The sequence below is a fragment of the Homo sapiens genome, chromosome 11 (genome assembly GCF_000001405.40).
Source record: "Homo sapiens chromosome 11, GRCh38.p14 Primary Assembly".
Classification (NCBI taxonomy): domain Eukaryota; kingdom Metazoa; phylum Chordata; class Mammalia; order Primates; family Hominidae; genus Homo; species Homo sapiens.
This window is the reverse complement of record NC_000011.10, coordinates 86,790,787-86,816,620: the sequence shown is the minus strand read 5'-3', so window position 1 is coordinate 86,816,620 and position 25,834 is coordinate 86,790,787. Positions and strand designations below refer to the sequence as shown.

Below are 25,834 nucleotides of genomic sequence, written 5' to 3'. Positions count from 1 at the left end.
TCATGCTGGGGGCTATGTTAGTTTACCAAACATGGCATTTTCCATCAGGGAACTGGGGGTGGAGCAAGTTTTAATAAATCCAAGAAAGGAAATGTAATAATCAGGCAGGACGGTAACTCAAAGACTTATTAAAATGTAGGGGAAGCACTCAACTCATTCAATTTACAAAGTGGCAATTCCATTGTACTGAGGCCAAGATATTTTGTGGAGAGGGTAGTTACTGAGCCTCATCACTCTGGGAGGTAGAGCAAGAGTCATGACTACAGTGACCTCAAAAGGAGAAGACGCATGAACACCCTGAGCACAGGGATGTATCTCAGTCATCTCTGCAGCCCCAGCGTGAACACAGTGACTGGCACCGAGGTGGGCTTGAGGACATTTGCTGAATGAATAACTGAATGATTGACTAATTGAAGAGATGGAGGAAGGGCAACCTAGCTGGAGGGTAGGAGAGCTTGAGCAATGACAGAAGGTTGAAAACACGGATGTGTTTGGTACAACTTGGCTAGACGACAGGTTATGTGACTCTGGGAAGCAATGGGGGATAAATCTGATCACTATATTGGATTGGTCATGGATTCATGGCTAAGAAAACTAAACTTCTCTAGTAACCAGCATCTAGTCAATAGGAAACATAGGGGAGGGGCCTGATCAGGTCTTTGCTTCAGAACATGTCTTGGGCAGGTGTGGGCGAGCTGGGAGGCTCAGAATCCAGTTTGGAATCTGCTGTCATAGTTAAAGGAGAAACAACAAGGTGAAATCAGGGCAGTGGCAGGGGAGCTGGAGAGGAGGTGATGGATAGCACAGAACTCTAGCTTGTTGCCTGTGAGATGTGGGAGAGGATCTATGTCATGACAGGCTAAGTCATGACAGACAGACAGACACTCACTTTCTCACAAATATTTCCTGTGCTAGACCATGGGATAGATAAGGGAAGACACAGAAGAACAGAACTCAGCCCCTGCTCTTGCAAGGCTCATAGTCTTGTAGAAGAGGCAGACACATAAATAACAACAGCAATGTAACACATGCTAGAATAGAACAGAATACATACAAAACACCACAAGAGTTTTATTCTGGGATGTGTTTGGACCCAAGAAATATCCAAGCTCACATAACCCTAAGTCATCATGTTCTGGGTTATATAAACCATCTGGGATCATTCGTTCAATCAGCCATTTGAATAACATTATTTATTGAGAACCTACATGCCAGGCACTGTTCTAATTGTGGGGACACAACAGATAAAAACCTCTGTCCTCATGAAATTACATTCTAGTGGCAGAGGACAAATACATAAATATAACAGTGTTAGTGATAAGTGCAGAGCAGGACAATAAAACAGGGAAGGGCAATAAGAACTCCCCGAGGAAGGGGCTGAGGGGCATTGAATTTCAGAGAAGATGGCCAGGGAAGGCCATCCTGAGAAGACATCTCATTGGATGGCAAGAACTGGCTGCTGTTCCCACGGCTGCTGCTTGGATTCTAGCCCCTTGTTCTGTTTATTTCATTTCCTGAGACTCTCCTCATTCTCTCCAAGGCAAACACTTCAGTCTTTCTTCACTGGATTGGAACTTGACGCTTCTCAAAGCTGTTCTTGCTCTTTATGGAAGACAGGGCCTTAGTCCTTTTAATAGCCCGAAGACAAGGGGCAGTGATAAATCAAGACTAAGAGAGCACAGTATTTTTACACACTTGATACACACATAGACAAATACCACAGTGAAGAGTCACCCTGCACTTTCTGCCTCTCAGAAAACATTGGTCCAGGCAGGAGGGGATGGCAGAGGGCCTCCCTGAGCCCATGTCTGCACCACCCCATTGATGCCTGGGTTCTTGCTCTTCTTGTGGGCAGAGCTGTCCCAAGTGTCCCTGGAGGATTCAGTTAATCAATCCCTCATTCACAGGCATGATAAGCATACCTGGTGCACAGTGCCCCATGCTTGCATGGTGGGTGCACAGAGACACACAAGGCAAGGTTCTGCTTGTCATGAAAACAGCTGAGGCTTGGAGGACTAGACAGACTCCTCTCTGGTCTCCTGCCTTCCACCCCGTCTTTCCCACCATAGCCAGAGGGACATTTCTAAACATAACCTGAAGCACAATCTGATCTTGTCCCACCCTTTGTCTCTCACTTCCTCAACCTGGCTTCCAACTTTTTTCTCTTGCTTTCTTTGAGGCCACATTTTCCTTGTTGTCCTTAACCTTATTGGTGGCTTCTTACCAGCTTCCTTACTGCCTCCTCCTCCTCCTCCTCTTCCTCCTTCTCTTCTACTGAACCCAACATCTAAATGTTGGTGGACTGGGACTCTGTCCTCAGCCCTCTTCTCTTCTCAAGCCTCATTCTCTCCCCAGATGATATTATTTCTCTGTGGTTTAAATATCATCTACAAGTGCATTTGAGATATTTCTACTGAGCTTCACAATCAGAGATCCTATAGTTCATTTGACATTGGCATTTGGGTGTCCGCTAGACAGTTGAAACCTAACATGACTGACACAGGAATTCTCGGTTTTCATTTCCACAGCAGAATCTAATTCTCTTCCTTTAGTCTTTCCCATCTCAGCAAATGGCACCTGGAATCTCTGTGGATGCTCAGGCCCCAAGCCAAGCAGTCATTCTTGATTCCTCCTTTACCACACCTATTCATGTTGGCTCTACTTTCAAATATATACTCTTCCAGATATGACCACTATTCAATATCCTCTACTTCCAAAGTCAAAGTCACTGCCATTTCTTACCTGGATTACTAGTTTTCCCATTGCCACTGCCTAAAATCCATTCTCCATTTAGCATCCAAAGAGATATTGTCAAATATGAATGAGTTTCAGGGCTGCATTTTGATTTTTGTGGGCCCTAAGCACTTTTGCCTTCATAAGTCTCCTTCTCCATTAAAAAATATTAAAAATTATATTTTATGGCTGTTAATATAAATATATTAACATTATATTAACACATTTTATTAGGCTTAAAAATTAACTTTCTTCTTCTGATTTTAAAATAAATATTTCTGTGTGATCTCTGAAACTGCTGTGGGCCCTAGACACTGTGCCTACTGTCCCTTCATGGATAAGTCGGTCCTGATTAGGCCCCACCAGGGCTCCTACTTAAAGTCCTTTGACTGTATCCCCCAGCAAGTAAGATGAATTAAAAAGACCTTGACAGAATCCTTAATTTCTATATGAGCTGGCTGGAATCTATCTTTTTGAACTCTTCCCCATCTGTCTCTTAAACAGAACAAATTTGATACTGCCAGGGGCCCTTGCACTTCAGTTTGTTGAGGCTCAAACATATTCCCTCCCAAATTCTCAATAAGCCACTAACACACAGGTATAGCAAGCCTATGAGTTTCTTGTGGGTTATGCAAATAGGAAACAAGATGACTGGGCTTGAAGCATCTTGCTGGCTGTGTACTTGAGACAGCTATCTGTTAGATAAAGGTGCGCAGGAGACAGAGGGTTATATCACCATAGTTAAGGGCTAAGGAGGGTAGAAGAGCTGGTGTTATCTGAGAAGCAGCAAGCAATGAAGAGAGAACATCACTGCAATGAGTCAGATAAATATGCCTGTCTCCTTTCTCTCTTCCTCAGCTTCAAATGAGCCCACTGAGAAGCTGGAACCCAGAAGAGGGAGGATCTTTAAATCATATAGGAGGGTTTAAATTTTAAACCACAATGCATTGGGATTTATTTGCCATAAGGAACTAGACAACTGTGGAATCAGTCTGCCCAACTCCAAGGCCATCATCTTCCCATACCAGGCTGCTATCTCAGCTCTCAATCCTGTTTACCCTTTCTTTTTTCTTTTTCTTTTTCTTTTTTTTTTTTTTTTTGAGACAGAGTCTCACTCTGTTGCCTAGGCTGGAGTGCAGTGGCATAATTTTGGCTCATTGCAATCTCCGACTCCTAGTTTCAAGCGATTCTCCTGCCTTAGCTTCCCTAGCAGCTGGGATTACAGGCATGCGCCACCATGCCCGGCCAATTTTTGTATTTTTAGTAGTGACGGGGTTTCAGCATGTTAGCAGGGCTGGTCTGGAGCTCCTCACCTCAAGTGATCCACCTGCCTCAGCCTCCCAAAGTGCTAGGATTACAGACATGAGCCACCATGCCCGGCCAACCCCTGTTTACTCTTGTTCTGGAAGCTGGTTTATTTCCTCCTCCGGGGGGAACCCCAGACTAAAAACAGATGTGTTGTTGATCGCCCAGAAATGGCCTCATGTCTGCCATGTATGTACGATGACCCCACCCCATCAAAAGGATTTTTAAATGCCCTTCCCCTATTGGAGGCCCTCAGAATGCTGAGCCAGGCAAAGAAGGTATCACAGGAATCACAATGGAAGCCCAGAGAGGAGAAACGCAGGGAGCTGCAGCCCCACCTTTGTTCCTAGATTAGCAAGGATGGCTGCCAGTCTGCACGCTATACAGAGCTTTGAAAGGTTAATAATTAAGTGACCAAACATGCTTGTTGGCCAAGACATACCTGGCTTACACCTGCTGCCCCAGCTTCATTAGTCATAGCATTCTCAAAAGAATCCCATTCTGAATGATAAATGAAATGGCTGCCTTATCAAACATCCATAGAAATCAATGGTCAGAGGCAACTTCAAGGCATACCTGAGCTGGTTCATGACAAGAACAAAGAAAAAGTGCAGACATGAACAGCAGCAGAACCCAGGCAAAGTAAGAAGGAAGCCCTCAGTGAGTGTTGGGGATCACTGTCAGAATTCCTCTGGACTCACTGGATGGCTGCCATTTACCCTTCAGTTAGCAGACAGCAGCCTAGAGTCATCATTCCAGGGCAGGCTTAGTCATTCTTAACAAGTTCTGCATTAAAGACCTCCTGTGGGGTTTGTTAGAGAAAGAGTGATTCCTTGAATACATGATCCAGGCATCACCAGGTACTTCCCATCTCCCCAAGCAGGTAGACTGAGCTACACAAAGAACAGGGAATTGGGAGCATGACCTTGGTATTTCAATCCCTTTTTGGTCCAAAAACAGTAAAAAGAAAGATTACACATACAACTCTGCTCCTATTTCTTTACCCCTTTAAGGCTATTTTCCCACCTTTTAAAAACACTATCTCCTTTTCAAAATTCAAAATTTGGAGTAAAGTCTATGTAAAACATGTGTCCCCAGTTCTGCCACAAACTTCTGATTCTCAGCGACAGATAATTTTCAAATTTATTACTTCTAATTTCACGCTGTGAAGATTTCCAAATCCTGGTTATAGGGTCTGGTTAAACCCTAAAGGCACAGACACCTGACCCCACTCGGACTCATCATTCTTTCTACATTACCACCTCAACCAAAAGGCTGTTACAGAGATCCCCAGAATGTATTTAGTAGAACACCAGATTGCTTATAGGCATTATATGAGAAAACAAGGGTTTTGTGATCAAAGATGTTTATTTAAATGCAGATTTTACAACCTCAACTTGTCCCTTTACAACAGGTCTTCCCAGAGCTTTTAATGTGCAGACAGGCATGTGAACCTCTGATAAAGAGAGGGAAAATGGAGAGGCATCTTCCTCTGACTTAATACAACCCTTTTTACTTTTGGTAGAAAATCATAAGGCATGAGTGTTTAAGGAGCACACTTTGGGAAATGTGGTTCTACTAGCCTTACTAGGCAAATATGCTTCTAATATGTATAACTAACACATGTAAAGCACTAATTATATTAATAATGCCATGAGTCCTTTTTTCTTTTTCTGTCTACTTCTATGATAGTTTAATACCATGCTTTCTTTTATTATCACTAAAAAGATGGACATGTTGAATTATTTTATAATTTTCTTTTACAGTTCTGTGAGTTAAGCTGTATATAGCATATGGGTGTATCATTCTTTAGTAAATTACATCTACTTGTGAACTAAACATTGATTTCATTTTGACTTTGTGCCATTGTCTAACTTTGCAAAAAATCAAAATCAAGGAATCAAGGTGCTTCACAAAAGGAACATCTATTTTTTTAAAAAAATCCATTCTGGTCTTGGTGTTCAGTGAACTTTTTTTCACCAAGCTAAAGCAAAAACAAACAAAACCCCCAAATACCAGACATAGAAATGGAGACCTCCCTTCTTCCTCAGGCTAGATTCCTGTTAGATTCCAAAGAAAATTGTGCTGGAACTCAGAATTTTCCTGGCGGCTCTGCATCTCCTTGCTATGCATAGTATTTCTCATATGATTTGAAGAAAGCACTGTGGTTGTACGTTTCTTGAGTGCCTTATCAGAATTATCCTTCCAAAAAGCTCAAGAAAGACAAGCAGAAAATCCCCCAGAGAATGTCTAAGTGACAGTGCTCCATCTGAATATCCTTACAAATTGCTACAATGCAGGTTTACCTGGGGTGCAAGCACAGCAAACACGTGCTTGTAGTCCATTTGATTTTTTCTCCGATACATTTAGAAAGAAGTGCTTAGGCCGAGAGCCATAAAATAAAAACATACAATAAGTCCAAGTCTTTTCTGTATATGCTGTGATTTGATAATCATATTGATAAAACATGTGTAAAGGCCTTTATTGGAAGGCATGATTCTGATCCATTTTGCATTCTTCCAATTTTCATTTTTGCTATTATACCTAATTGTTTATCTATAACCTAGAGCATTCCAGCAAAAGCGGCCCTTTTAAAGCTAGAGGGAAAAAGGCCACACTGGTTTTCTTAAAGTAACTTCCAAGTATTTTCACTATAAATGAGAGAGAAAAGTTTCCAAATTGAAGAAGTACATAGCTCCCAGAAAGCACACTGAAAACTATGCAGAATAATTTTTGATCAGGCTGGAGGACTGTGCCAGGCTCCAAACAAGTGGTTATTCTGTTGTGACATCTGCCAGGCAATGCTTCCATTGTTCTCTGGAATTTAATTCATTTTAAATTACTCCATCCAAATGATAAAACATGAGATGTGCTATAATCCAGGGGTAAAATGCTATGATTGTTTTTAGTGTGGCCACAACTGTTTGCTGGGAGGAAATACAGCCTGTTCTAATTAAGCCCTGATTATTGTCTTCTGAAAAATAGCTAGTTCCAGAAATGTGAGTGAAATCCTGTTAAATGGAAGGGTTGGGATAAACACTCTTGGCCACTCTGGTATGACTTTAAAGTTGGGAGGGCCATATGCAAAGACTTCCTACAAAGTAGAGCAACAACCTTTGGAAAAGAAACTATTTTTGGAACTAAAAGCAGCTTGGGATACTGGTTTACTATAAGGTATAGTTTAATATGTGTATCAGTATAGTCAACACATCATTTTACTGTTCAAAGACTACCATGCAAATGCCTCCAAATCCAAAATATTCTGCCTAACAAATGCTGTCAAAGTTCCTAAATGGGAACACTGCCTTATGGAAGCATTAAAGATCAGGCACTGAATTAAAAAAACAAAAAAACCCACCACCAAGATGAATCTCAGAAGAAAACACACATGCACACATATAAGAATTCATATCTCTTGTATGCCAAATATTTAATATAAATCTTTGAAACAAGTTCAGATGAAATAAAAATCAAAGTTTGCAAAAACGTGAAGATTAACTTAATTGTCAAATATTCCTCATTGCCCCAAATCAGTATTTTTTTTATTTCTATGCAAAAGTATGCCTTCAAACTGCTTAAATGATATATGATATGATACACAAACCAGTTTTCAAATAGTAAAGCCAGTCATCTTGCAATTGTAAGAAATAGGTAAAAGATTATAAGACACCTTACACACACACACACACACACACACACGTGTGCACGCCAATGACAAAAAACAATTTGGCCTCTCCTAAAATAAGAACATGAAGACCCTTAATTGCTGCCAGGAGGGAACACTGTGTCACCCCTCCCTACAATCCAGGTAGTTTCCTTTAATCCAATAGCAAATCTGGGCATATTTGAGAGGAGTGATTCTGACAGCCACGTTGAAATCCTGTGGGGAACCATTCATGTCCACCCACTGGTGCCCTGAAAAAATGCCAATAATTTTTCGCTCCCACTTCTGCTGCTGTCTCTTCCACATCCTCACATAGACCCCAGACCCGCTGGCCCCTGGCTGGGCATCGCATTGCTGGTAGAGCAAGTCATAGGTCTCGTCTTTGACGTCACAGAAGCGATACACCAAATTGCCTGGTCGGTCATTGTCATAACCAGAGAAGTGAATTCTGCCCCCTGGCAGCTGCTTAGCAGGAGGGCTCACCCCAATCTTCATAAATTTTCTCTTGTGGGGCTTTTTGAGTTCCAGGAGGGCATAATCATAATCCATGCCGATGTCATTGGCATTGCCCTTGATCCAACCCTTGGGCACATGGGTGCGTTTCACCCGGATCCACTGAAATTTCATCTGCTCGGGCATGGCTGAAGTGGAGTCGTTGGCCCCTCGACCACCATCTTTAAACTTGGGCTTTAGGAAGCCCACTCGAAGCTTCTGGGTTCCTTTCACATAGGTTTTTCCATCGTGTATGCAGTGGGCAGCTGTGAGGACATGCTTCTCTGCCACCAGGGTGCCGGTGCAGCCCGTGGATAACTTCACTGATGTTGAGAAAGGGTAGTTGAGCAGGAAGTCCTTCCCAAAAATGCTGAACCTGCTGTCATAGCCATAAATCTGCCGCTTCCTTCGAGACTTTCCTGAAGACCCTGAGTCTCGGTGTTGGGCCCCATCTCCACTACTGCTGAGGATGTAGATGCCCACCTGCGTCTCTGTGCGGCTGCCATTGGCATAGAGCGTTTCATAAGACAGATATTGCTTGGCCTCTTCGTAAGTGGGCAGTGGAGTTCCCTTATGACACTGGGGTCCACATGAAGAAGATACTTCTAATTTGGCTTCGGCTCCAAAGTCTGGCTTGGCTAAATTGAGGGTAGACTGGGGCAAGACGACAGGGAGGCGGTATGCAGGCCAAGTGGGTTTCCAGGGGGCACTGTAAGGGCTCACTTGCCCAACAGCACAGAGCAGAAAGAAGAGAAGGAAGAGGAGCCCTGGAATCCCTGCCATGCCGAGCACTGTTCTGTAGAAACAAAGACAAGCAGGTCAGGAGGGCAAGGGCTGAACGTTCATTTACTGCAGACAGCAAAGCTCAGCAGCAGGCCTGTCATTGTTTCTGAGTCTTTGAACACTCCTCAGGAATCAGGGTGTGGAGAGGAATCCTTAGATAACGGTCTCACTTTCAACGCAAAGGCTCAACCTTAGGAAAGTTCCTGTGGCTGGGTGCCTGAAGTGAAATTGGGTGTTCCTTCCTTTCTATGTTTAAGATGTCCCTAATGATGGTAGACTGCAGAGTAGCAGGCATAAAGTCATTAGTCCCCTGGCTAACTGACTGACCAGCCCCAATTTCCACGTAATTTTGAGCCCTCTTTGTGCTTGATTCTAAACCTCCTCCTCTTCTACCTTCATGATGTCCCCGCCTTTCCCTCCTCCTTCTCTCATTCTCATTGTAACATGTACTTGGAAAATTTTCAGAGCAACTTGGTCACTCAGAGGGTCAATTTAAATTACATGGCTTACTGAGTGACTGAGACATCAAAGAAGGACAGCTCCACAGTGTCACAATTACCACCACTCCTGTGGTTTTTAAATGATGGTGCACTCGAGAAAGGGTATGAGATTTTTTGTTTTGTTTTGTTTTTTGCTTTGAATTTACAACAACCTTTACTATTATATATATTGAGTTCCAGAGTGGCTAGGCTTCTAATAAAATATTCCTTCTTCCTTTGGATTATGTTGTACACTACCAGGATCTTTGTCAATATCTAAAGCTCTAATATTGCATCAGCTATAACACTATGAACTGTTACCATTGGTTACTTTTTCAGTTGTTTATATCTGTATTACCAACTAAATCTCTTAAATTTGGGCCTGTGCTAGCACTCGACAAAGATTTGTTAAATGGATGCTTGTATTAATGGAAAAGTGAATGAATGTTGCATGCTGACGCTAATGACAATGATGTACATGGATGATGCGGTAGCTCAGAGAAACAGCTTGAGGCCAATTGTGGGAGTAAGAACAAGAGAGGCCTTCTAGGAGAAGTGATGCTTGAGAAATAGTATGCCACAGCCTCGCTCCAACCTCTCAATATAGAGGACCAAATGTATTATTTGGCAAATGCACCCGTTCTTTTCAAATGTACCCACCATTTAGAAGCAATAGGAGTCCTAGTAAAGGTGACACCGTGGAGCTGTCCCTCCTTGATGCTTCGGTCATTCAGTAAGCTATGTAATTTAAATTTACCCTCTAAATGAACAAATTGCCTAGAAATTTTCCAGGCATCACCTGATGTTTCAGATGGGTGCTGAAGTAGAAAAGAAGTCTGATAACATAAGACAGAGAGAAGGGGATACTTAGGGAAGGGAAACAAGAGTCTGTGCAAGGGCACAGCAACATGCAACCATGTGAGTAATTTGGGGAATCACACTTAGCTCAGCAAGGGTGGAGTAGAGGAAGTGGTGGAGGCAGCAGGCAAGAGCTAGATTGTGAAGTGCTATGTGTACTAAACAAAGAAGTTTGGATTTTATACTGCAAGGTATGTTTAAATGCCCAGATCAATCATCCCACAAGAAAAACAACAACGAGGAATACTGAAAGTGCTTTCATAAATGTTTAAGCATCAGTTGGCTCTCAGTGGCTCTGACTCTTCTGGTTCAATAGAAGCTGACTCAGCAGGTAGGGTAACTCATTCACAACCAAGCATCCAAAAACAAGGACCCGGAAGGGGTGGGTCTCAAGAGGCTCTGGGAACACAGCAGAAGTTAGGAAGAAACTGTTTTGTTATTCTCATTCTCTTCCTGTTTGAAAGTACAGATCTACTGGCAACTTTGGGTGCCTTTTGCTCCCTTTTATATAAAAGTAGAAAATCCCAATGATCTGATGTAGTATAGCTGAGCATGCCCATTCTCATTCCCAATATCCACACTGTGTTTCTAACATATGTGTGTGCCCCACCCACCTCTGGGACCTTTTTGCTTGACTTTTTCTCTTGGCTTCCACTTCAGTCAGGGAGAATAGGGATAGGAAAAGAAAGAAATAAGGTCCTGGAAAAGCCAGTTCCTTGGGACTCCCTAATTCCTTGAAATTCTACTTGTCTCCATCTTTCCAAATAGGAAGGGTCCCTGAGCCCTTTTGTAGGAAGGAAATACATTTAATTATTTCTTTAAATCCTTGAAAACATGGGGTGCCCGCATATGTGCACACACGTGTTTGTATGTGCTTGTTGGGAATATTGCCAAGACTAAAGGTTTTAAGTGGACTAGGAAGGGGATGCCAATGCTAGCTGAGTCCTCCTCTCCAATGGAGAACTTGGCAGTGAAATGGGTGTGGTGATGACAACCCTTTAGGAGATCTGTGGGGCATGGTTCTGATTATTCCCACCTACTGGCTAAGGAGTCATCCCTTGGGCTTATCGAGGACTTGAGCAGCCTTTTCTCTATATAAGTTGCTGTCTAGGTGACTAAATGCCCCACTCACACCAGAATCCCTGCCAAATGTGACAGGGACTAGGAGGAGTCATATATCTCCCACATGGCTGTATCTTGGGCTTCAACGCACCATTCTCTCCTCCCTTTGAGTAATGTGGGGAATGTTAATGTGACTTACATTGAGCACATGGTAAGCCAAGTTTTACTTCAGCTTATCTTAAGAAAGAAAACACAGAATGCGGAGGTCCAACCTGCCAAGCGTTCTTGTTTTTAAAATACGATTCTTGGGGGAGAAAGAGTAGGAGATGAGGTAGTATTATAGTATGTATTATCATCAGCTACAGATAATATTTTCAATGTGCATGAAGAACATGGCAGTTACAATATCCTCTTTCATGAGCCACAGCCTTACTCCAACCTCTCAATATAGAGGATCAAATGTATTCTTTGGCAAAATGATGAATGATTATGTCTCAAGAAACTTTGGGATCAGTTATGAATCACAGAATCCTGTTAGAGAATGCTAAAGAGTCTACTGCATGATAGAATATTACTAATTCAGAGTTCTTACAACTTGAATTCTGTTCATTTAGCCAGGAGTGAAGGAGAAGCCAGCCATCTATAAGAAAAAAACAAACTGCTAACCCAACAGGACAGTGTGAAGCTTTAACTTTGAAGAATAAATTTTTCAGAGACTTAATAAGTCCTAATTTCTATTAGTTTGCAACTCTGCTTCCAAGTTCTCCACATTACTAAACCCTATTTACTAACTTGTGTGATAAGACTTTGTTCTGACAGCATTATATATCTTGCTTAAAGCTTCCATGTAACGCTAAAAGTTATAAAATTGCATTTAAAAAAGTTTAATTCAGATTTAGAAATGAATGCAGACTTTTAGAAACTAATGCCCATCAAATTACTTCAAACTGATTAGGCTTAGATATTTTTAAAATATCTAATCAGAAATTAGAAGATACAGCTGTGGGTTCTCAAGCCCTTAAATGGGTTTAAACTGATGTCTGTATTAAAGCTACAAGCTTCTTAAGTTGCTTAGTCCTTTACCAAATGTTTATTTAGGGTGCTTTAGAAATTCTTCTGAATAGCATCCTCAACCAGATGATTGCTTTAGCTGGTCTTTTTAGCTCTGGTCTTTAGGTCCAGGATTCCCTAATATTATAATTTTCCAGAATCACGTAAGTCCAGGTCAGGGACGATGCTGACTATAGTGTCTGTACTATCATTTACTTCTCAGGACCATTGATTCATGGAATTATGGAGGGTGGAGGCAAAGGAGGGGGAAAGGAAAAGGAAAAGGAAAATGAATCATGCTAATTTCTCATCTATCTGGCAGACAAGATTTCCCTGATCAGTCTGCAACAGGACCACTGTTTGAGAGAATGATTTAACTCCTATAGCAAACAAGTGCTGGGAGGGAAAACCTAATCCTTAGGTCATATATTCTCTATTGTACAAATTGTGACTCCAGCAGAAGGCAGCTTTCAAGAACTGAGTGGAGGGATGGCTGTGTGTGTATGCTCTTAAGACAGGCCCCAAAGAAAAGCCTGAGGGGGAAACAACCCTCCTGTCCATTAAGGGTCTTTCCTGAGGCATTCGCAGCCTGCCCTGACTCATCCGCATTAATAAAACAACAAATGATGCAAAACTGTGATGCTTTAAAATTAGGTTGGTGGATTTACATTCATTTCTCAACTCACATGATAATGGAGTAATTCCTTAGAAGACAAATAATTATTGTTACCATCTGTATAAACCCTGGGTAAGCCTGTGCTATACCTGTTTAAGTTTACTTAAACATAAACACTCATCTAAGGTATAAACAGATGTAATGAAAACATTCATAATCCCACACCTGGAAAGGTAACTAATGAGTTACATGATTTTAAATTCTCTCTCACCCTTATAAATGAATCACCTTATCCTTGCAGAGCTGCCTGGAAGACTCACACCTTAAAAATGGAATGAAGATTTTCAAATCTCACCCTTTTACCTAAGTCTGGATGAAGAAAATTTAGGTCTATAACGTTTCATTTCTAGGAATAAACTTTTGCTGAATAAAGATTCCTGGTATACATAAATTATCTTTTAAGGTTTCCAACCAAGTGTTTCCGTGCATCATTTCACCTAACTGGCAGGGAAGAATGGAAAATGAAGGTAAGAAAATATTTTTTCACCATGCTTAGTAATACAGAAACTATTCCTTTTCCAGCTTTGGGTATCTGATTCATAAATAGGTTACACAGTCCACCCTCCATCACTCAATATGAGCCACTGTCTGAAAATATTTATACTTTTTGAGGATGCTGCCACTTCATAGGCCCTTGGTGGTGGGACTTTGCATAATTAACAGATATGCAAACAACAATCTCTTTGGAGACTGGATGCAGTGACTACTGTCTCCTGCACGGCACCTTAGTCTTGAAAACTGCAACAACACAGGTCTCCTCAAGAGGGCCACTGTTTGAGAGAATGATTTAACTCCTATAGCAAACAAGTGCTGGGAGGGAAAACCTAATCCTTAGGTCATGTATTCTCTATTGTACAAATTGTGAATTCCTGCAGCCGCTATAAACAGTAATGACAGAAAGAAACGGCAGGAAAGTTTGCAAAGATACAGGTTTTGGACACCATTTGGAGAGATGACAAAGGGTCTTCCATGGAATCAGTGGTCAGTGATATGGAACGGTGAAATCATGCTAAATCCTAAAGCAAATGCTTAAGAATGAACCAAGCTCTGTGAATACTCTGCAGTCGGGCTTGTTCTCGTTTTCCTGAATCACAGACCCTATTAAGGCAAAACAGACCTAATCACATAATCGTTTAAGAATTACAGTCTTGTACAGGAAACTACAAGGCACTTACAAGTCCAAGCAACCCTAAACACAATCTTGTGGTCAAATGAAGTTTAGCCTCTTCTCTATCGGATTTCAGGTAAACTAAATTGAGCCTGGGACAAACCTGGCAGAACAAGAACAGAGTGCAAAAAAACCTGCTAATATTGAGAACATGAGAAACAAATTCCCTGGAGTCTGTGGGAGTTAGGCATGAATAATGCCTGGTGGATGAAATCCTAAGGGATCTATGAGAAGAGTTACTGGGAGAACCTGAGACTATTAACCATTGCAGACTGGGGACAAAAATGTTCTCAGATGCATTAATGGACACTTATGCTACAACCAGAAAATGCATCCATGTTAACCATCCAGCTGAATAAGTCGTCAGTGTTACAAAAATGAGATCCATATTAGGCACCTTGGAAAAAGGCTTCCTTCCCAGTTCAGGCACAGGAAAGGACAAGTTACCGCTTGACTTTATTTAACTAGGAAAACTGCAAGTGAAACAACCTTTTCGTACGCAGATGGGGTGCAAACACTTTCACAAATAAACATAGTGGCTTCTGGGGGCATTTTCTAAGTTCCTTCTCCCCACTTCACCTCCAATCCACTCCTGACAGACTTCATGGTAGGCACGGTTATAAACCTGTCACAAATACTCGCATGCACAAGTAGGATCTTGAAACAACATGCAATAAATATCCTGATACTACTTTGACATAGGGCTTTTGACCACAGCTGACCTCATCTATAAATTCAATTCTTTCTCACATGACCATGTGATGAGGATTCTGGCACTGGCCTACCTGTTCCTAAGGAGTGCACAGGGAGCCCTCAAATTTAGTTTCAGGAGCTGAGAGAAGCAAGCCCTATTCCAATACCTACACTGAGCTGCTTAATTCTTACTGGTGTCACCCAGTGGGCAGTAAAACAAACAGGATTTTTATCAGCTGCTTTCTCCTGAGGTGCTGGAAAGCAAACCTAATTTGTATTCTGGAGAGGAGTGGTGGTGTTCCTTCATCTGAACAAGTCTTCTCCCGCTCCTTTTAAAACTTTAAAACTTTTATTTAAAAGTTAACTCGTGATGAATGCCTACAGGCAGAAGAACTATTTGCTTACAACAACTGTTGTTAGTTCAGACTGTAGTGTCTAGGGTTAGCACCCCCGGAACGCACACGGACAACCACTCCGGAGAAAAGATTCTATTTCCCAGCCTGTATTTGCTGCACTTTTGCACTTCTCTTGCTTGCTTAGGTGTGTTCACAATCACATGCCCAGGGTTAAAACTTAATATTCAGAACTTGATGGAATCCGGTATATGCAAAACTCAAGGAAAAGAAGTAGTGGTGGTGGTGTGTTGGGGGGGTGCATGGGGGTGTAGCCATCGCCCCCGCCGAAGGACAGCTTGCCGAGAGCCGGCTCTCTCTGCTTCCCAACCAACATCCTGCACCCAAGACAGCAGGATCTTCTTTCCCCATCCGTTTCATGGGTGACACTGCATGAATCCAAATGACCTGCAGCCCCCGCCGTCTCCCCAGAGCTCCTTCAGGCCCCCAGCCCGTGTCCTGGAACCCCGAGGACTGCCCTGGCGAAGTCCTGCGGTGCCTCCGGCAGCCCGCAGTTACCCTACCCCGCGCATACCCGGCCCTTTGTCCCGCTCCTCCCGGCGCCTCGCCTCTCCCGCGCCCGGGCGGATGCCCCAGTCGGTGCCCGCACTCACCCGCGCCGAGCAGCCCGCCCGGGCCGCGGCTCGCTGCGCCGCTCAGACAGGTGTGGGCGCCGGGAGAGAGCGCGCGGCTCCCATGCCTGCCCCGCCGCACAGCCGAGTGCGAGCAAGCTGGCGAGCAGCGCAGGCAGCTGGCGGGTCCGCCCCCCGCGCCACCCGAGGCCCGCCCGCCCCGCCTCCGGCCTCGGGGAAGCCGCGCGGACGCCGCCCGCCCCACTGCACATAAACCGTGCCCCCCTCCCCTCGCCGCTCGCCTGCGGCCGGAGCAGGGTGGAGCAGCCCAGAGGGCCTGAGGCCGAGCGTCCCTGCGCAGGTGGGCCCCGGTGGCGCGGCAGCAGTCGCCAGTCCGGGCCTCTCGGCGCCAGGCAGCACCGGCTCTGGCGGGCTCTCCTGCCCGGGACCCGCGCGCCGTCACCCTTTGAACACCGCGCATCCCCGGGTCTGGCGCGCGGCCTCCTGAGCGAGACTACGGCCTTCGCTGCTGGGAGCACGCTGCCAGCTCGCAAAAAGACCAGGTCCCCTACAAAAGGCGACCCCTCCCCCAACAGCCTAGAACTAGGGACGCGGGCCACACCTGGTGTATGGGGAGCCCTGGGCAAATTTGAAGAATTGGTTCAGAACCTGTGTGCGCCCCACCCCCACGTACACTTTTAGCGCCTTAAGGTGCTGACCGAACTCCTAGTTTCTCCGGTGCCTCCAAAGAACAGAAACCTGTATTCCCATGGCAGGGCCACCAATGCTTTGCATTTCCTTACAGCACTCAGTGCTGTGCGTGGGGCCCAAAGCACCGGGGGTGCTTGGCAGCTTCTGAGCGGCGGTGGCTGGGGAGCCCACTGGCCTCAGTTCTTCATCGGGGCACCAGCTGGTGGAGCCACCTCCTTGTCCAGTGGGCCTACTTCCCTGAATCACTCCAAGCGGTCGTTATCTTGGTGGTGGTGGTTGGGGGCCAGGGTAGGGGGGTGTGCGGGGAGTCCTCTCCTAACCAGGCTGGAGACCTTGCCATTTAAGGTCCTAGTGTTAGAGCCTTCCTATTTAGTATAGATTACTGTGTATTGAGCGTTTTCGGTCAAGAGCTTTACATATAGGCCATTGTGGTGAAGAAGGTGCAGAGATTACACTAATTTTTATAAGGAACAGGAGGTTTGGAGAGGTTTTATGACTTGCCCAAAATCACACAGCTACTGAATGGTAGGACAAGATTTTGCACTGAGCCATGCTTTCTATCAAGCTACTTAGCTTTCCTTTCTCCTATCAAAGTCTACTCTCAGAAAGGGAAGGTCTAAAGTGCTATTTCACACCAAGGTGTTACTGATATGCCTAATACGTTGGTGTTTGCAATTACTTTTACATGAGAAAGCCCTGAACACATTATTGTGTGGTCTTTTCTTTTATTTTATTTTCAAGACAAGTACTCCCTCTGTAGCTCATTCTGGAGTGCAGTAGCAGGATCATAGCTCACTGCAGCGTAGACCTCCTGGGCTCAAGTATCCTCCCTTCTCAGCAAGTATTACACGCGTGAGTCACTGCTCCCGGCCTGGTATTTCTTAAATAGAAAGGAAACTGATATTTTCCACCATTTTAAGGGCAAATTTTTCTTAGCTTAGCTTCAATTGTTTTCTTTTAAAATGTCACATTAATATATAGAGACATAGGCCAGGCTCAGTGGCTCACGCCTGTAATCGTAGCACTTTGGAAGACCAAAGTGGGCAGATTGCTTGAACTTAGGAGTTTGAGACCAGCCTGGGCAACATGGCAAAACCCCATCTCTATAAAAAATACAAAAAACCTAGCCAGTTGTGGTGGCACACGCCTGTGGTCTCAGCTATTTGGGAGGCTGAGGTGGGAGGATGGCTTGAGCCCAGGAGGTGGAGGTTGCAATGAGCTATGATCACCACTGCACTCCAACCTGGGTGACAGACCAAGACCCTGTCTCAAAACACACACAGACACAAAACCAGATATAAACTTATGTTACAGCTTTTGAACAACTCGCAAATAAAACCAAAACAGATTTATAAAAATTTTCTTCCAGAATAATAAAATTGAAATTAGTAACGTTTCCTGGACTACTATCAGCATTGCATGGTACTGACAGCTGAGGCGTCAGTACCTTTGACTTCCCTGTGGCTCTGCCACTCTCATGATGTGTGAGGTGCCCAATGCAGACTCAATTCTCTCACCTCTTTCCTTCGTTCCATCTACCATATCTCCTTTGCCCACACCATATGTCATTGCAATGGGTTTCTCTTGACTCTAATACATTATTTAGGTATTTGTGCTGTTTCTCTCTTATTAGCATAGCAAGTGAAGTGGTAACTCTTGCTGCCAAAGACTAGTACACACAGGTGCTGCAATCAAGAGGCAGTACTTGGCATGAGATGGTCATCCCAATGATCCAGAATGTGTTTATCTTTTATTATAAAAATTTTAAAGATTAAATTGAGGATCTCTAAGTGTCTGTAGCTCCCAATTGAAGAAACACCATTAAAAGGTAAGTATCTTAATAGAGGAACTGGAGGTGCAGCTGGAAGGAAGGGAAGAAGGGAGAGATTTATCAACCATGCTCAAGTTGTATTAGAGTCACTTCAATCCAACAAATATATATTGAGCACATATTACATGGAAAACATTGCGCTAGGCACAAAATTAAAGAGATGCATATAGGAGGACCATACAGCAACATAATTAAGAGTGGCCTGTGGCATCTGACTATGGGGTACCAATCCAAGGTCTGACGCTTACTAGTTGTGTGGCTTTTCACTTAACTTTTCTGTACCTCAGTTTCCTCCTCTGTAAAACCAGGACTTTCTCATAGAGTTCTTTTAAGAATTGAATGAATATACATAGTGTGCTTAGGAGAGTTTCTTACATGGAACAAGCCCTTAATAAATATTAGGTATTGTTATATTTATCACACTTGGCTCTGCTTCGGAGTGTAGTCCTCCAGTACCACCTCAGTCAGCTTTGACATTCATTGCTCATTTTTTTCCTAGTAGTTGCAATGTTTCAAGTTAGAGTCATGGAGAACAAGATGATTATTCCCATCACTCAGAGAGAAAAACTGAGGCACAGAAGGGCCCAAGAGCACAACAGTCCTTCATCTGGTCTCAGGGACTACCGCCCACTATCCAAAGAGCTAATAGGAAGGACTCTTTAACTACAGATGTCCCACGGGGGCTCAGGGTTTGAACATGCACCACAAGCTTTTGTTGTTCCTCAGAGCTACCAAGAGTAAAATGAGAGGCTACTTCCTGGCTGTTAGGTTGTCATCACGATTGCCATAAGGACGATGATAGAACTGTATTTTGACCTCTGAGACAAATGACCAATGTAAACAGCAGATGTCTTCATGCTAAGATTAGAGGTTTGCTTTTCTTTTTGTACTCGTCCCATTTCCCTCCCCAGTGGGGAGGGGGTCGGGGGAACCAAAACCGAAATCCTCACTGCTTCTTAAGAACTCAGTTCAACTCTATAATTGTAATTCCCGAATACTTTTTATATGCGTAGCAATGGAGTTGTTCAAAATGCATTCAGGGCAAAGCCCACACATTTTCTGATCATCCACTCTGTGTAAGGTTATTTGGGCTGTCAGGGAGAGAAAGCAAATACCCCTCAGCTCGAGGAATGTATGCAATGGACATAAACAAAATCAAATATAGGAGAAAGCAAGATATCAGCTGGATCAGGATACAGACATGAGCTAGAGAACATGGAAGAGGGAATCATTAATTCCCACTCTGGCAGGTGCTGAAAGCTTTGAGGTAGAATTTGAGCTGAAGCTCAAAGCATAAAAATCTGGACATTACCTCACTGTGTTCACAAAACTACTTTGTAACACAGACAAGAAGAAAAATATCCACTGTATAGATGAGAAAATCAATGCATAAATTAAGGGAGCAGAACTAGGACTAAATTGTATCTATGCTTAGTGAATGCATACTATATGCCAGGTACTGTGGAGTATATTTTATTATGTGTAATCTTTTTTTTTTTTTTTTTTTTTTTGAGACGGAGTCTCGCTCTGTCGCCCAGGCTGGAGTGCAGTGGCGCGATCTCGGCTCACTGCAAGCTCCGCCTCCCGGGTTCACGCCATTCTCCTGCCTCAGCCTCCCGAGTAGCTGGGACTACAGGCGCCCGCTACCACGCCCGGCTAATTTTTTGTATTTTTAGTAGAGACGGGGTTTCACCGTGTTAGCCAGGATGGTCTCGATCTCCTGACCTCGTGATCCGCCCGCCTCGGCCTCCCAAAGTGCTGGGATTACAGGCGTGAGCCACCGCGCCCGGCCTATGTGTAATCTTTAAGACAAATAGAGAAGCTATGATTTTCTTCATTCTGCAGATGAGGATTCTGAGGTTCAAAGTTTTAAAATAGTCTACTCGGTGCCATACTACAGTACAAAGGATCACAGCTGTGACCTCTGCCCAGTCTGCCCCATTCTTTTGCTGGATTCCATTGTGTTATATTGCTTCCCAGACTTGCCTTTTCCCGTCCTGACAATAAGGAGGTTGCATCAGTTTCTGATGTCACTCCAGCTCTAAGTATCCTTTTGATTCTATCTTGCTTTTGTTCCAGTTATGTAATAACTCACGAATGACCTGTTAAATAACCCCAAAGCAGGAAACAAGATGGGACTGAATGATACTTGGAAGCTTAGGGTGGCATGACCAGCACTAACTCTAAACTCAACCTCAACTCAACTAAATTTTAGTGCTTATTTTTTATGAGACCAAGATCCATATGTAGCCTCAACAATTTAAGTCAGTTTGAAAGTTATCAAAAAGGATTATGTCTAAGGAGATAAATGGGCATATTTCAAAATCATTTCCATATGGTTTCATATTTCTTTGATAATAATAAAGTGTTACGTGGATCTTGTAGTTTACTCAGTAAGTGGGGGTTTTCAGCTCTGTGTAGTGAGTGAAAAGAGAATTGGAATGAAAGTCAACACAGGGTGGGGCATTCTAAATGTGTCTTAGCCATAGAGGTGCTGTGTGACCTTGGGTAAATCACCACACTCATTGGCCTTGATTTCTTGTCTGTTAGTAGAGAACCTAGATAACCTGCTGTTACAGTCTTTGAGCTTATGACATAGTAATCCTTACGGGAAGATGATCCACATCATTTTTTAATTTTGGGGCACCCACGGTGCCTACCATGGGATCCCGGAGTAGCAAAGGATGTGAAATTCTGTGGTCAGACTGACTTGGATTCAACTTAGAATTCATTTATTCGTTGGGTGAATGTGGGCAAGTTACGTGACCTTCTGTGCCTCACTTTTCTCATCTGCACAATGAGACTGATTTAGGGGTGTTGTAAAGATTCAGTGAGATAATCAGTACAAAACCCATAGCATCGAGCTCAGCACAAAGTAAATTCTAAATTGGCAATACGTATTATTATTATAATTATTATTATCATTACTATCACTGCTGCTATTGTTACTACTGTGAATGCTCAATAAATGTTTTTGAAAATTGTTGAATGAATAAATGAATAAATCAAACTGTTATATTATCCATGCTAAAAAGTTTAATCCAGACTTTATAAGAAAAAATGTATCCCAGGACTCCCGTTGACACCCCCAAATCTTGTCTTCAGTCTGGTCTACAGGCAAGAGAGTTTTAATATTGAATTCAGGAAGAATTATAGATTCAAATGAGAGCCATGGTTGTATTTTTTGTCTCCTCCTCCAATCTCCTCTATGGTACCATCAGTTCATTCATTGAACAATTACCTATTGAACCATGAATATTACAAGGTTTATATATTTGTCAGTGTTTTTTTAGGGCAAAATCACATTTTTCTTATAATGTTTAATTTAAAATTTTCCTTGTAAAAAGTAAAACCCCCATAGTAAAATTCCTGTAATAAAAACAAATCTAACAAGATAAACCACTCAAATCTCTACAGCACTTAATACAGAAAACAAATATATTTGTATTACATTCAAAACTTTCTAAAAATTTCTATTTTTGTTAAGTATAGATTACTCATTTTAAGTCTTTGGAAACATAGGTAGTCAGGCACTCTAAATGTAAATATGTGAAGGTGTAATATATAAAAGCTTAACATACAAAATTATTGTAGGGTTAAATTGTCATATTGGTACATATGGTAGGAAAAAAAGAGCTGCACAGCAAGTAAAAGCTTTACTCTAATCCTACTTAGAATATGCCAATCTAAAATTATCAGAAAGAAAAATAGACTTGAGTACTTGCAATTTCCTGTATGCTCTGGGCACTATTGTAAACTGAAATATTGGGAACATTTTGGAATAACTATGTGTTTCTCATTTTCTCTGGTCAAATTTGAAGTCTCCAAATTTGAAGTGGCCAGCATGGGGCTTCTCTGATCTACTCTAACTTGCATACTGGATCTTATGATCAAGAACAAAAGAGAAAATGAAGATTTTATATTGGAAATTTTTTTTCTGAAATCTTTACAACTTTAAAAATCTTTTATGGAAAATTATTTTGTTTTCAATTTTTGTTTATATTTATCCATAAATGTTGGATTCTCTTTTTACTCCTTTATAAGGAGTAAGCTTTCATGTGGTTCAGTGTGGGGTCTGGATATTTGAATTTGGGTCTTTTATGAGGTTTCTCCTTTACTTTGTGGAAAATTCTATTCATCCTTCAAGCTCAAATATCAGCTGTTCTCTGAAGGCTTCCAAACCCTTCGGTGCTAGATTTGTAAGTTTAACTTATGTTTTTTAGAGGGTTGTATTAAAATTATATCTTATGTTGTAATTATATATATTTACATGTTGAAACTCAAGCAGTCCAGAGCTCCTTATGAGTAGGAAATCTGTCTTGTTTTCCTTTTTAGTCTTTATAGTTTTCTGCTATAGTCTAGCAGAGAACCTAGCTCTTTGTAAAGGCTTATTTAATGTTAATTTAATAAATGATTAAATTAATGAATAAAATTCTAATTGGTTAAAAATATTAGATCAGAAATAATTTAGCTTGCCAGCCACTAGGAACAGGACACAGTGAGTGTACATGAAATTTTACCACTGGGGCTCTCACACTCTCCAGAATGTTAATCTGAACTTCCATTTAGGGTCTGTTTACCATTGTTTCCTTACAGTTCATGTCAGATAACAAATTCAGTTTCCACTTGGCCTGCTAATTACATTTCACTACTCACGCTATGGCTACATGGTGGCATTCTAGGTGCCATTTGTCCATGATTTATGACATTTGACTGGCTTTCTGCAGAACTCTTTGCAGTATGCTCTGAATTTGGCCACTACAGGGTGTTCTGAGTTGCTCTACCATGGAGTCCCCCAGGATTAAAGAATGCTATTGGACAATATGTGTTTCCCAAATTCTATTCCCTCCCACACTTCTGGAAGAGGTCAATAAATTGCCTGTAAAAAAAGGTAGTTAAATATGGATATTACCATTTCAAATACTCTGAGAAGTCTTGCATAAAGAAATCTAGTTAAGCTCGTTTATCTCAAAGGTGCCCAATCTTATTTGACCACGGAATCCTTTTTTCAATACAGAAGTAACAGTTCACAATATAGAAGCCTTCTAAAGAACAGAATTTGAGCTCAGGAGCTCAAGACTAGCCTGGGCAACATGGTGAAATCCCATCTCTACAAAAAAATACAAAAATTAGCTGAGCCTAGTGACGTGTGCTTGTAGTCCCAGCTACCTGGGGGGCTTGAGCCTGGGAGGTCAAGGTTGCAGTGAGCTGTGACTGTACCACTGCATTTCAGCCTGGGTGACAAAGTGAGACCCTGTCTCAAAAAAAGAATGGAGTTTGAAAAACGTCATCCGTAAGTTTACCCCACTTCTACAATTGAACCACTTCTGTTCCCAAGATGTGCTCTGTGCTTTTTTTTTGCCTTGCTGTCTTTGTTCATATCTGAAACTCTTTCATATCCATCTGTCTACATTCTGTCCATTTTTCAAAGGCCTAACACAATGTTACATCTTCTACAAAGTATTTTTGTTGGCCTTTGATTTCCCATAACACTTTCTGTAACTTTCTCATAGCTCTTGTAATTTTATTCGTTTTATTTTCAGCTTATGTTTCTCCTCCCCTACTGTTGAATACCATGAGTTTGCATCTCTGGCCTGCACCTTTTTTGGCTGGGTGTGTTATTCAGGGTCTTGGCAATAGCACATTGGTTCAAATGATGATACTTTAATGAAGTGGCTACTTATGGAGGTGAAGACAGGGTAGAGGGAACAAACAAGCCAGAGAGGCATCCAGGGTCTAGCAGCAGTGGGAAGCCATCACTCATCTGGGCAGGAGGCAGAAAGGAGAAAATGCTGTCCCAGAGCCCAGTGAGCATGAGCACCTTGGAGGGAAGCCTGCTTCCAATTGCCGAGTAGTCCATGGAGAGTTGCAGCTGCTGCAAGAAATGGCTCCCCAAGGACGGAGGAAGTTGGAAAGAAGCACCCTGACCTCTTCTCTTCCTACTCTGATCTCCCGAGGCCTACCAAAGTCAGCTCACAAGGGAGTCAGGTTGTGCTGTCTGTAAGGACCAGCCTTCTGAGCACAGTGCAGGGTAGTGAAGGGTGGAGAACTCATGGGAGAGAGGCAGACAGAAAATAATCAGCACATTGGGAAAGCCTGCTTCAAAATAGGGGTAGTGACCAGTACCCTCCTCACAGGGCTGTAAGGAGATTATAGGGATTTCATTAGAAAATGTATCCAAATATTAACATATCGCACAGAGCCTGATTCTCAAATTATTTTAGCTAGTCATAAGAACCCTGTGAATAGCTACTGGTATAAAAGCTCATTGAAGAAGATGTCATGCATTGCTTATTTTTCAGCTCTTACACATGGCAGCATAGGCCCTCTGAGCAGTAGGACCATGAATGGATGCCATCAGGTGTGCCACGGGGAGCCACCTTGAACAGAGGTCACAGGGAAGCTAGTTTGGCTGTTTTGACTAAAATCATCAGTCAGTCTGACCTTGGAAAACAGACAGCAGTGAGCTGACTTTAAGACTTATTTTTAACTTTCAGCAGATTGTTCTGGCACTTCTTCCCCACAGTCTAGGCCTCTAGGTTTTCCTTTGTCTCTTTGTGGAGGTGAGAGCTGCTGAAAAACAAGTGAGCTTGTGAAAAGTGCCTCACAGCCATCACTGGAAATGGCACCAATTTGTCACATTTGAAAGCCAGCTAGAGGTGGCTGGCCCAGGGGTTCAGCAGGAGGATTTGTACTTACAGAAGCAAATTGCTTCCTCCTTTTTCAGAAGAGTAACCTGTTTTATTTCAAACACAGGATCACCTGGCTCCTTCTGCCCTCCGCACACAGATTAGGGAAACCACAAGAATAATCATCCATGTGTTCTTTTCACTTCAAAGCCCTGCAGAATGCCACAAGGGCTGGTTCTCCCACCTGAAACAAGAGAGGCCCTTCCAGGGCTGTGCTGGTTTAAGAAAGCCCTTTCCTGGGAACTGGGGGAGTGAGGTGGGACTTACCAGATGAAGGCAAATCTGTGTCAGACAAGGAAGCCACACAGGTACCCTCCACTGCAGCTCTGCGCCTGTGCTCCTGGAGGAAGGGTGAGTTTGCAGGGTGACAGCTCTGTGGAACCTGTCACACTGACAGAGGCAATGAAGGTCACACTGGGATGAGATTCCAGTACTGACACCAGCAGCTGCAGGTAGGGACTTCCTTCAAGGAGGAGTGACTTTTTTATCCGGGTTTCCGGCAGACTAAATTTAGTGGGAAAAAGCCCCTTGATCCTGTGGGATCTGTAAGTAGTTGCTCACATTGTTGTCCCTGCCCCTGGGAAATCAAGACATAAACCCAAACTGTTAATAAATGGCTCTGATGTCACTACACCCACAAGCCTCACACTTTCTTAGTGGGCCAATCTTGAGTCCT

At 42.9% G+C, this 25,834-nt stretch overlaps 1 protein-coding gene across 6 annotated transcripts in view, besides 1 other annotated feature; it reads right to left on the bottom strand.

Annotated features, from left to right (window-relative positions):
* Nucleotides 1–25,550, bottom strand: part of PRSS23 (serine protease 23) — a 161,840-nt gene extending 136,290 nt beyond the window's left edge. For 3 of the 6 annotated variants that reach the window (NR_120591.3, NR_120592.2, NR_120593.2), the window contains exon 1: nt 15,970–16,079. Coding sequence is in view for 3 of the 6 variants with exons in the window: in NM_001293180.2 (NP_001280109.1) it covers nt 7,826–8,977 (1,152 nt within the window). In the remaining 3 variants the exon portion in view is untranslated. Of the gene's footprint in view, nt 1–5,387; nt 8,991–15,969; nt 16,080–25,425 lie in introns of those variants that run through there. The other 3 variants (NM_001293180.2, NM_007173.6, NM_001293179.2) reach the window with 3 other exon arrangements.
* Nucleotides 4,496–5,082: an enhancer, noted in NCBI's record as "NANOG hESC enhancer chr11:86522581-86523167 (GRCh37/hg19 assembly coordinates)". NCBI's record gives its function as "activates a minimal SCP1, AML or CMV promoter by ChIP-STARR-seq in primed H9 embryonic stem cells {active_cell/tissue: H9 hESC(primed)}" and the evidence as "EXISTENCE:reporter gene assay evidence [ECO:0000049][PMID:30033119]".
* Nucleotides 25,551–25,834: the final 284 nt, after the last annotated feature.